At 37.0% G+C, this 12,206-nt stretch overlaps 1 protein-coding gene across 23 annotated transcripts in view, besides 1 other annotated feature; it reads right to left on the bottom strand.

Moving 5' to 3' along the window:
* IL1R1 (interleukin 1 receptor type 1) overlaps nt 1-12,206 on the bottom strand; it is a 109,485-nt gene that overhangs the window by 8,587 nt on the left and 88,692 nt on the right. For 17 of the 23 annotated variants that reach the window (XM_011511115.3, NM_001320978.2, NM_001288706.2 and 14 more), the window contains 4 exons: nt 6,280-6,514; nt 5,984-6,173; nt 5,007-5,175; nt 2,625-2,690 (listed from right to left, as the gene is read on the bottom strand). In XM_011511115.3, coding sequence (XP_011509417.1) covers nt 2,625-2,690; nt 5,007-5,175; nt 5,984-6,173; nt 6,280-6,514 — 660 coding nt within the window. Of the gene's footprint in view, nt 1-2,624; nt 2,691-5,006; nt 5,176-5,917; nt 6,174-6,279; nt 6,580-12,206 lie in introns of those variants that run through there. The other 6 variants (XM_047444180.1, XM_047444181.1, XM_047444183.1 and 3 more) reach the window with 4 other exon arrangements.
* Nucleotides 11,595-11,789: a silencer, noted in NCBI's record as "fragment chr2:102775959-102776153 (GRCh37/hg19 assembly coordinates)". NCBI's record gives its function as "represses an EF-1alpha promoter that drives an FKBP-Casp9 reporter gene in an ReSE screen in K562 erythroleukemia cells {active_cell/tissue: K562}" and the evidence as "EXISTENCE:reporter gene assay evidence [ECO:0000049][PMID:32094911]".

The following is a 12,206-nucleotide window of genomic DNA, read 5'->3' as shown; positions in this document are numbered from 1 at the left end:
TCTCTCCAATAGTGTATGTGAGCACGATTTTCCCCAAAACCACCAGATAACAAGTGTTTTTGGTTAGACATTGCCTTTTGAGAGAAGAAAATGTCACTTAAGTTTTCATCTACATTTCTTGAATTCACGGTGAATCAACATGCTTTTCATTAGCTTGGTGCTCATCGGCCTTCCTTTTTAAAAACTGTTATCCCTCTATCCATTATTTAATTCCATTTTTAAAAATGAGACACAGTCTCGCTCTGTCACTCAGGCTGGAAGTGCAGTGGCACAATCTCGGCTCACTGTAACCTTCTCCTCCTGGGTTCAAGTGACTCTCATGCCTCAGCCTCTTGAGCAGCTGGAACTACAGGTGTGCACCACCACACCCAGCTAATTTTTGTATTTTTAGTAGAGATGGTGTTTCAACATCTTGGCCAGGCTGGTCTCAAACACCTGGCCTCAAGTGATCTGTCCACCTTGGCCTACCAAAGTGCTGGAATTACAGGCTTGAGCCACCACGCCTGGCTGGATGCATGCTTTAAATTTCAGTTTTTCTGAGATTAATATTCAGGGTTTTGGTTTTTTTAGTTTTTTCCTCTCTTATAAATTCCACATATTTTCAAAGTTTTTCTAACATATTTTATGGACACTTCTAAGACATTTACTGGTGCAAATGGCATTTGTTTCCTATTATGTTTTCTAGCTGGTTATTGCTAAACAAGTCTTATATTTTAGAACATTAATTCTAAATGTTAATTTATTATCTGACTAATTTATACAGAATTAATTCTAGTTTTTCCCGGGAATTTTCTTGGGATTGGTATGATCAGGAAACAATAATAAAAATGTCTTTTTTCCCTTGTGGTAAGCATACCTTGTTTTTTTCCTTCAATTGCATTAGTAGGCACTTCTAGACTGTGCTCAGTAATAGTGGTTACATGGGCATCTTTGTCTTGCTCTTGGCTTTAGTGAGAAGGTCTATAGTATTTCACCATGAAGAATATTAGTGACTATTGGCTTGCACTGATGTTATTTATTAAGTTAAGGAAATATCTCTCAATCCCTATTTTTCTAAGTCATTTTAGGAGTAATGGTATTGGATCTTATTGCCTGTTTAACACCCTTCAGGATAATCCTATGACAGGGTACTATATGCTTCTGATCCACTGTCAATATAATACATTAAAATAATTATTTCCTAATTTGAAGCTTTTTTTTGTAGATTGAGAGATCAATGCAGCCTAGGCATCAGAGCTCTCAATTACACACTTCTAGGGCAGGCATTTTCAACAGGGGCTGTGGCCAGCAGGGCAAAAACTGGTTCTTGGGGAAGAGGCAAGAAAACCTTAGATATTACATGGTTTGTGGTACTCCAAAGGGCCACAGTATATCAGCAAATATAAAAGATAACTGTGGTACTGAAATTTAAAGACAGGAAAGAGAATTAGGTGGAAGAAGACTTTTTAGACTCTAAAGGGGAACAATTTAAAACAAAAAAAGATGGTTGAGAAACATTGTTCTAGAGCCTATTGGCCCATATTTAATTTTGAGTTTTGACATTTTTGTTTCTGTCTAAGAATGTCTTTCTACCACCTTCCACCATAAATAACAAGTACAGAATTGGCCAAGTACAGAATTCACAGATCACAAGCATATACCTTCTAACCTCTGTATGGTTCTTGACTGCTGTCATGCAGTTACTATTACAGAGGACAATTCCAAGGCCAACCTATTTTGGGTCCTCTGACACAAAGAACCACTTTTTCTCTCTTGATCAGTGGTTTCCAATAGAACTTTCAGTGATGTTGGAAATGTTCTATATTTGTGCTTGTCTGTACAGTAGTCACTTGTCACATGTGGCTATTAAGCCCTTGAAATATGGCTAATGTGACAGAGGAACTAATTTTTAATTTAACTAAATGAATCAATTGACTTAATTTAATTGTACATGTCCATAACTCCATGCGCCTAGTAACTACTGCACTAAACAGTGCAGAGCTAGATGCTTGTGGGGTTCTTTCTTTACTCTTGAATAAAAAATGTTCACTAACTTGGAAAAATACTTTTCTAGAATGACTACCATCTTTGGGGCCTGTAGCCTTACTCTTCCGACTCAAAGCTTGGATCTGGTCATGAGAAATCCAGTCCTGAAATTGTAACACTGCTGATGTCTGTCGTACAATGATCAATTCTTCAGAAGTTCTTTAAGATGTCAAATATAATTTTTGTTTAATTCAGAGATAAGTAACACCTACTGTATTGATTCACTTTTACAGCAAACCCTATTTTTGTCATTAAATATTTTAACTCTGTGAAAAAAAAAAAAAGAAAGAAATCCAATCCTGTACCAGTCAATGGCATTGCTGGTTCCTAGGCCTTTTGACCTTGGTGTCTGGTTGGTGTTTTCATGGTAATAAGTGTTCACAGAAAAGTAGGGCTGGAGATATCAGACATGGCAAGATGTTTGCCATAGAGGCAAGAAATACAAAAAATTAAGATATAATTTGTCTCACTTTCCCTCCATTGATAGATTTATACAGTAAATGGCTTAGATTATATATAGTAAAGATACAATTTATCTTACTCTTATGTTTTAAAAAAAAAAAACCGATTCCAGCATACCCTCACTGAAGCCCACTTACCCAAGTCTACTTCCATTGTCTCATTAGCTGGGCTCACAATCACAGGCCTTGTGGGTTTGTTTTCCTCTGAAAGAAAAACATCCATAAGGTTTGTCAGTCTCTTATAGATCAGAATCTCAAGTGACGACAACACTTAGCAAAACATACTAAATGACTTCTGGCCAGATATTCCATCAAGTGTTCAAAGCACATATGCCAGGAGACAGGAGGCAGAAAGTGAAGGAAGAAAGCTGAGGCAGAGGCCACAGCACACTGTGAATCCCGGGGTAGAGCTAGACCTTCCGAATTCATAGAGTGGGGTGCTACTGAAAAACACACACATCACCAGGACCCTGGGTCCCCAGACAAATGCCTCTCTTAAGTGAAAGCATGTCAGCAAAGGCGAGAGTAGTGGAAAGTCACTTCCTTGAATTGGGTGTTATTGGCCAGAAGGGCTAGTCAATACTAGACCTGCTTGCATTTAATGACTGTGTTAATGACCCAATAGTGAGAACTACAGGGTTATGGAATAATGCTGTAATTTATTAAAATAGGCAAAAAAGTATCAAGAAGCCCCAGAAATTAATCTGACTTATTTATGAAAAGATTGGTTTCAGGGGTTTATCTGTGGCCATGAAGAAACTATGAGAAACTATAAAATTGAGCACTCGGTATTCCCCCAATCAAAAAAAAAGTGAACACCATGAAGGTAGGATATTCTCTGTTTTTTTCCCTAATGTATACCTATTACAGTTCCTGAAACATAGTAAATGCTCAATAAATATTTTTGAATCCTTGAGTGAACAAAAAGTGCTAGGCATCATTGGTGTGGGCCTTGGAAAGAAAACAAAATATTACCTCACTCCGAGTAGAGTATATTGTTTCTACAAATGGGATCAGAAAAGGAAACAGAGAATATCAAAAACACACTTAACCTGGCCGGGCGCGGTGGCTCACACCTGTAATCCCAGCACTTAAGGAGGCAGAGGTGGGCGGATCACGAGGTCAGGAGATCGAGACCATCCTGGCTAACACGGTGAAACCCCATCTCTACTAAAAATACAAAAAAATTAGCCGGGCGTGGTGGCGGGCGCCTGTAGTTCCAGCTACTCGGGAGGCTGAGGCAGAAGAATGGCATGAACCCGGGAGGCAGAGCTTGCAGTGAGCGGAGATCGCACCACTGCACTCCAGCCTGGGTGACAGAGCGAGACTCCATCTCAAAAAAAAAAAAAAAAAAAAAAACACTTAACCTAGCTTAAATAGTCCCCAGTGCCCAGTTCTCTCTCAAGTTCTACTTGCTGGTTAGGTTACTATGTTTCAGGAAAGACAGACCAGAGCTACCCAATGACAGGCTGCTAAAAACTCAAGAACATGGTTTGATACAAAGACCATTGAAAATTGGGATTCACTGATGCCTGTGGGACCATGGCAAGGAATTAACTTTTATTTAATAAAAATATTTTTAGGAAAATAAAGTATTATATAACTGGAAAAGTGAAGCTATTTATAGGGTGATCATATTCTGAGTTTGCTTGGGATAGTCCCAATTTATACCTGTTGTCCCAGCATAACTACTAATAGTCACCCCTATAACCTGCAAAAAAGTTCTGATTGGAATAACTCTTATTTTATTACATAAATCTTACAAAATCTCAATATTTACAAAAAGTTTGAGCATTCTGACTATCCCCTGGCAATTTGTGCATTTTGTTTCATTTTGCTGTGATATAGTTTTCAATATGAAACATGGTTAACGCAGAATTGAAAGACACAAGAAAATTAACAAGAACAATCATCCTACACCTATTAATTGCATAGCTGTTTTGCACCAAGCATTTCTTTGCACCAGGTACACAAGTTTCGTGTACCCCATATCTCTAATCTTCCCAATAACCTTGGGAGATTGCATCATCTTGTTACAGAAGAGGAAACAGGGTTAGAGAGGTTAACACCTAACACAGAATGAACAGGAGGTAGATTCTGGAAATGTGACTTATTCCAAAGCTCATTAGTGTCCACACCGATGCTTGCTGCTAGACACTGACACTCACTGAGATTCCCCAGGTGCAGGCTCTCAGAACATTCCCATATACCAGCCAGAGGGAGCCCCAGAGCTTTCAGTAAGAACCATTTTTAGCCATGCCAAAGAACAACCCTCTTAAATCAGTTGGAAAACACAGCTCATAATGTCTCTATTTAATTAGAACTACATCTGAAGCAGGAATGGAAAAACATTACATAGTATTTAGTAACAAAAAAACAAAACTAAAGCCATGTGACTTTTGTGGTATCATTGAGGTCGTCTTGGATTTGGTTTCTTCATGGATAATGAAAGTAGTATTAGAATCACAGTCTCTGGACCTTCCCAGATCTAAACCTTTTAGGGCTGGAGCTATGACTCACCTAGAGTAATAAATTCTATTACCCGGGTAATAGGATATTGCTTGCCCAAGTATGTGTAGGATGCATGACAAGTATAGTTCCCTCTATGCTTTTCAGCCACATTCATCACGATGAGCCTATCTTTGACTCCACTAAAGTGTATATTGTCAAGAAGTAGAGGTTTGCAATCCTAGATAAAGGGAGAGAGAAGCATTGAAAACCAATAACCAATAACTTTCCCCAATCTACCGCCAAAGGAGCTCCATTTTTTTCACCTTAGCAAATGTTATATTTTTAGAAAGTGACTGGAAAAGTTCCTTACATATAGTAAGTTTTAATACTGGCTTTTTGGAAACAGTTAACTATATTCCTATGACATTAAGTTTTCAAGTCTATGAGACTTGTACTATGAAGTGAAGGCCAATTTATTTTGCAAGAAAAACATGTTTGAAAAAAATGTTAACACTATATAGTTTCTTAACAATACTGCACTTCATTGATATTACGTATTTAGTACGTCTTAAGCTCTACAAGATGATTCCCCATTTAAGTTCCATCAGACTAGGTAGATTAAAGTTACCAAAACATGGGGTGTTCCATGGAAAGCTAGTCAACCCACTTTTCAGACAGTTATGGAAACTAGCAGGTTATTTGAAGACCATATCTTCAATAAAACACACATAGTATGTTTTGTAATAAATAGTTACATCTTCAATACCTTAAGCTTATAATCAGCCTTCTCTTTAAACATCTATTTCTAGTACTTTTCTCAATTACATCTTATTAAATTAAATAAAAACAACAGCAAACAAATTTCTAGTTAAGCTTCAAATTAAGTGAATGCAGTCTTACAATTCTTTTTAGGTTCCCTATCAAGTTTCACCATTAAAGAGAAAACAATATACAAAATAAAAAGGTACTTTGCAGATACATTCTATTGTCCAGGGAACTATTTTATTTTCTGGAAAAGTGAAATGTCATATTTAAAATAAAATTACCTTATACCACTGTAATTTAGGTAACTCATTATTTTCATTTTTAAAAAACTCCATATAAGGGCACACAAGTCCTCCGTCTCCTGCAACGGGTAGTTTCTGCTTAAATATGGCTTGTGCATTATAACATAAGTTAGGCTCATTCTCCACAAATTTTGCACTTATTTTAATTCTGAGGCAGTAAGATGAATTTCTAAAATAAAATAAAATAGGTAAGTTAAGCATTATTAAAAGTATTTCTGTCCTTAACAACTGCAGGAAACTAGAACATGTTTGTAACATACTAATTCCTCTCTTACCTTACCACGCAATAGTAATGTCCTGAATCCTCCACCTTAGCAGGAACAAACCAAAGTTTCTCTTTGTGTTGATGAATCCTGGAGGCTTGTTCTGTAGATACAGGTGTCTTGCTGTCATCTTTATACCAAGTTATAGTGCCTTTGTGTTCATTTGGGTTAAGAGGACAGGGACGAACATCAATTTCATTTGCAGATGACACTAAAATTATTTTTTCTTCACGTTCCTTGCATTTATCTTTAAAAGGAAGAAGGGTGGAAGCAATTTACATAAAAATCTGCCAGTGTGTCTTGATTTAATATCTACGAAGAAACACATTGATTATTAAATACATCAATTCACATTACATATAAAAGCTTTACAGCCTTGTGATAAGATCATTATCTGGGGAGTCTGAGAAGCATATTCAAGTCCAGCTGCATCACTTACTGCCTGTGTGCTGTACCCCTGGCAAGTTATTTAACATCCTTCACCCCCTTTTCACTCATCTAAAAAGTGGGGACAATGTAGGAGGAGAGACATGCCTTTCAGTACAAGATGGAGTAATAGAAACTGGATTTACCTTCCCACATGAACAACTAAAAAATGGACAAAATATATGAAACAACAGTATTCAAGACATTGAACATCAGAAAACAAAGGAGAGAAATCCCAGAAAGACGGAGAAGAAAGGAGGTGTCCAAAATTACAGCTAGGCCATGACATTGCCGAGAAAAAACACAGGCAAAGCCCAGTGAGTTGAGGAGATGGAGCTGAGAACCTGGGTAGAAAAGTTTGCAGGGCAGAGTACCCAAGTACTTAGAGCTGCATAACGACACGCAGAAAGAGTCTTGGGATAACTGAGAGTCTCCCCCAAGTTTTCAGCTGAGTATCAGTCAGTGTAAGCATATAAGAAAATGACCCAAGGCTAGAGGGAGGACTACCAAACGAACTGGAGGGAGTAACACATGGAGCACACCCAATGCTGGAAACAGTTGCTGTTCCCAACAGCCAGGGTGGAAAGCCTCATTAATGATAAGGCATCAGGCAGAGTACCCAGAAGGGTTCTGACTCAGTCATTAGGGAAAATTAGGCCAAGAATAAACTTTTTCCTGATCCTAATTAAGCTTAAAAGCAAGACCCGAAAGGATTAAACCATTTCCAAGTAACAATCATGTGGCAGAACAAAGCTCAAGAACATTCTGGGGAATACGAAAATATCCAGCACCCAACATGGTAAAATCCACAATGTCTAACATCCAAAAAAATAATTAGGCATGCAAAGAAGCAGTAACATACAACCAACGATAAGGAGGAAAAAAATCGATCAGTCAAAACTGACCCAGAAATGACACAGACAATAGGCCTAATAAATTTAAAAATTAAAATAGTTTATTACTATTGTATTCCATTTATTCAAGATGCTACAGGAAAGATCAAACATGATTAGTGAAGACATGAAAGAGATTTTAAAAAACTTTTAGAGATGAAAACAATAATGTTGAGTTACAAAAAACAATGGATGGGATTCACGGCAGATTTGATACTGCAGGAAAAAAAAAGATGAGTGAACTTGAAGACACAGCATTAGAAATTATCCAAAATTAAGCACAGAGACAAAAATAACAGAATAAAATGGGCAGGGAATTATTTTACTTAGGACAACTTCAATACATGTAATATGAATCACTGAAGAAGAAAAATGTGGAAAACAGAAAACATATTTGAAGTTTTTCAAGATGTGACAAAAATGATGTATACATAGGCCCCCATATCACAATGAACCCCAAGCAAAAGAAACATAAAGCAAACTACAAACACATAATAATAAAATTGTTTAAAACCAGTGACAAAGATAAAATCTTCTATGTAGCCCGGGAGAAATGACACAATTATTGCAGAGGACAAAGACAAAAAATGATGCAGCTTTCTTTCCAAAAACAATACAAGCCAGAAGAGAGCAAAACAATATCGTTAAAGTACTGAAAGAAAAAGTCTACCTAGAATTCCATATCCCATGAAAATATATTTAAAATTTAGGAAAAAATACTGACTTTTTCAGATTTGCCAAAGCTGTAAAATGTCATCACCAGTAGACCTGCATTACAAGAAATATTTAATTCCTTCAAAAAGCACAATATTATAAGATGAAAATGAATCTACGCAAAAGAATGAATAGCAACAAAAATGGGTAATTATAAGATCATCTTTCTTATTATTTAAATCTCTTTAAAGAAAACTGAGTGTTTAAATAAAAAATAATAAAATGCTATAAAGTTTAAAACAAATAAAGAAGTAACATATATGGAAATAATAGGGCAAAGTTCAAGAAAGGAGAAATGGGTATATACTCTTAACTTTGTATACTATATGTGAAACTGTATAGTGTTACCTGAAGGCAGACAGAGATAACTTAGAGATGGCTATTTAAGCCCCAGAGCAGTCATTAAAAAAACACATACACAACAAACAGTTATGACTAAAAAGCCAAAAAGCAAAATAAAATGAATCCTAAAAATGCCAATTAATCTAAAAGGCAGCAAAAAAAGAGAAAAAAATAACAGAATTGATGGGACAAATAGAAAAACAAATAGCAAGATCCCAGAATTAAACCCTAATATATGAATAATCACACTAAAATTTCAAATAGTCTAAACACTCTCATTGAAAGGCGGAAATGATCAGATTGGCTAAAGAAAGGCCCAACTATGTGGTGCCTAACATAAACACATACACCTACATACAGACATTTTATAAATAAAGGTAAAAATAGATTAAAAAGAAAAGAAAAATATTTGCCAGGCTAACACTCATGAAAAGAAAGTTTGATTAATTAGCTAGGGTTAACCATTTCACAATGTATACATATACCAAAACATCACATTGTACACTGTAAATATACACGATTTTGTCAACTATACCTTAATAAAAATTAATTAGTTAAAGCTTGAGTGACTATTATTATCAAAGTAGATTTTACAGTAAAAATATTACAAGAAAAAAGGGGCATTTCATAAAAATAAAGAAGTCAGCCAGGCGTGGTGGCTCATGCCTGTAATCCCAGCACTTTGCAAGGCTGAGGCGGGTGAGTCACCTGAGGTCAGGAGTTTGAGACCAGCCTGGCCAACATGGTGAAACTCCACCTCTACTAAAATACAAAAAAAATCAGCCAGGTGTGGTGGTGGGCACCCATAATCCTAGCTACTTGGGAGGCTGAGGCACAAGAATCACTTGAACCCAGTAGGCAGAGGTTGCTGTGAGCCGAGATCGCACCACTGCACTCCAGCCTGGGTGACACAGAGAGACTTTTGTCCCAAAAATGAATGAATAAATAAATAAATAAATTTTAAAAAAATAAAGAAGTCATTAATCAACAGGAACACAATAATACCAAATGTTTATGTAGCTGCTAACAGTGCTTCAAAATACATGAAGCAAAAACTGACAGAACTGCAAGAACTAGAGAAACTGGTTCTGCAAGAAACTAGAGAAACCCCACTCACAAGGACCGATAGAACAAGCAATAAAATTAAACGGATAATCAGTAACAACATAGAAGATTTGAACAACACTATCAACCAATTTGACATAATTGATATTTGCAGAAAATTCCAACCAACAACAGTAGAACATTACATTCTTTTTAAAGTGCACACATAAAACTTAGCAAATTTTCCATATTCTTCCCCATAACCCAAGACTCAGTAAATTTAAAAGGATTCAAATTAGACAAAACTTATTCTCTGGTGACAATGGAATTAGATTAGAAATCAATAATAGAAAGATATCCAAGGAATCCCTATATATTTGAAAATTAACATACTCCTAAATAACTCATGAGTCAAAGAAATCAAAAAGAATATAAAGTATTTGTATCTGAATGATAAGGAAAACATAACATATCAAAACTTATGGCATTCAATGAAAGCAGTACTTAGAGGGAAACTGCTAGCCTTAAATGCCTATATATTTTTTAAAAATTTCAAATTGATGACTTGAGCTTCTACCTTAAGAAACTAGAAAAAGAACAAAGTAATTCCAAAGTAAGCAGCAAGCAGAGATTCTATGCCTGGGTCTTCATTTACGAAGGTGACTGAGTGACAAAACAGAGACTAATGCAATTGAAAGATTTGTATTACTTAGTGGTTCGGACAGAAGGGGTGTGCCATACCACGCAAAACCACAGGGAGAATCACCAGATTGGGTTAGGAGGCAGAAGCAGAAACAAAAGGAAAGCCTAGGCCAGCATCTTTACTGGGGTTCCCATGGGAAAGGCAAGGCAGGGCAGCATAAACAGTTTCAGATTGGCCCATTTGAACCATTTTTGCAGGCTTTGGGCATAGAGGCTGTCCCTAGTTCTCTGGTACCTAGCCCTGTGTTGATTGAGGCTGGGGTAACATTGGTTTGGGTGTGTGAGAGTTGGATAAGGAGGTGAGTGGGGTACCATCTTGGGTCAAGCAGTCTCACATGAAGGGCAAGCTGTAAGCTGTCCACAACACACCTAGGAACTGCTTAGCCCCTGGTGGAGCAGTCTCTCCCTAGATATGAAACATCTTCCAGAATGTCAAAATATGGTAAGATACAGAAAATAAAAAACATAATTAATATAACAGAAGTAAGAAGAAAATAGTAATATGGATCAGAGAGGAAATCAATGAAATAGAAAACAGAAGAACAATGAAGAAAAATCAAAGATACCAAAAGCAGATTCTTTCACAAAATCAATAAAATTGATAAATCTTTAGCCAGACTAATCAGGAAAAAAAAGAGATGACATCTCTTTTTTAAATAATTTGTAAAGGGTAGTGAGGGAATATTATAAACAATGTTATGCCAATAAATTTAATAACGTAAATGAAATGAGCAAATTTTCCAGACTATTAAAGCTCCCTTGAGAAGAAGTAGATAGCCTGGATTGCCCTATATCTATTAATACTATTTTCTATTCAAAGAAATTGAATTTGCAAGATTTCCAATATGGTGGAGTGGGGGTCTCATAAATCATTCCTCCATAAAGGCAACAAAAAGACTGGCAAAAAATTTCAAAAATCAAAGGCTTGCAGTAACCAGAAGAGCATTTACTAGAAAATAAGGAAACAAACAGAAACATGCCAAATCACGGATCAGCAGGGTTTGTAGCTTTATAACTTAAATGACTTCCATCCTACTCTTCCCAGCTCTAAAACAGCCATGAATATCAAGAGCTTTGCAGACACAAAGGCTTTGAAAACCAGCAGGCTTGCAAGAAGAGAGAGGGTTTGGAGCTCCTCGAAAAGTCCCATTTCCAGAGCACTGCCACTCTTTGACTTGACTGGCAGGTCCTCAAAGTCACATTCATAGGGTGGTGGTGTTATTGACCTCACCAAGAGCTCCACAGCAAAAGCACTATCCCCAAGGCGTTTGCTGGAAAAACTCAGTGTTAATTGTTTTTTACAACTGCCTAAAGCTGCAATACCAGAGCCATAACCTCCAGAGGGCTTTGAAAAGCTCTGACACATTCCTGGGGAACCCAGAAGGGTGGGCATGTATGCAGGGCTGTGTGCATGCCCAGGAAATTGCATAGAAGGCACCAGGCTCTCATTTCTGGATGACTCTGAGGTCATACACAAGCAGGAAGTGAAGGCTAAGGCCTTAAACAGCCTTAATGTTGAAGGTATGCTCCAACACACATGGAGCCCCTCAGCAAAGGGGAGAAAACTCACTGGACCAAGGAATTTAAGTCAATCTCTGGCTCAGTCCTTAAAGTTCTTATCTTTCCTAACTACACTCCATGATCCCATTCAGTCTCATGGTTCTCATACCAGCCGCTTGCTGAGGTCTCCAATTTTATATATTCAACCCAGACCTTTCCCTCAGGCTGTAGACTGCCTAGTCAAAGTCACCTTTTAAACATCTAATGGACAGCTAAACTTAACACATCCAGTCTGAAAACCTGATCTTCCCCATCTCA

This window comes from Homo sapiens, chromosome 2, assembly GCF_000001405.40.
Source record: "Homo sapiens chromosome 2, GRCh38.p14 Primary Assembly".
In the NCBI taxonomy this organism is placed as follows: Eukaryota; Metazoa; Chordata; class Mammalia; order Primates; family Hominidae; genus Homo; species Homo sapiens.
The sequence above is the reverse complement of the archived record's forward strand: the minus strand, read 5'-3'. Positions and strand labels throughout refer to the sequence as shown.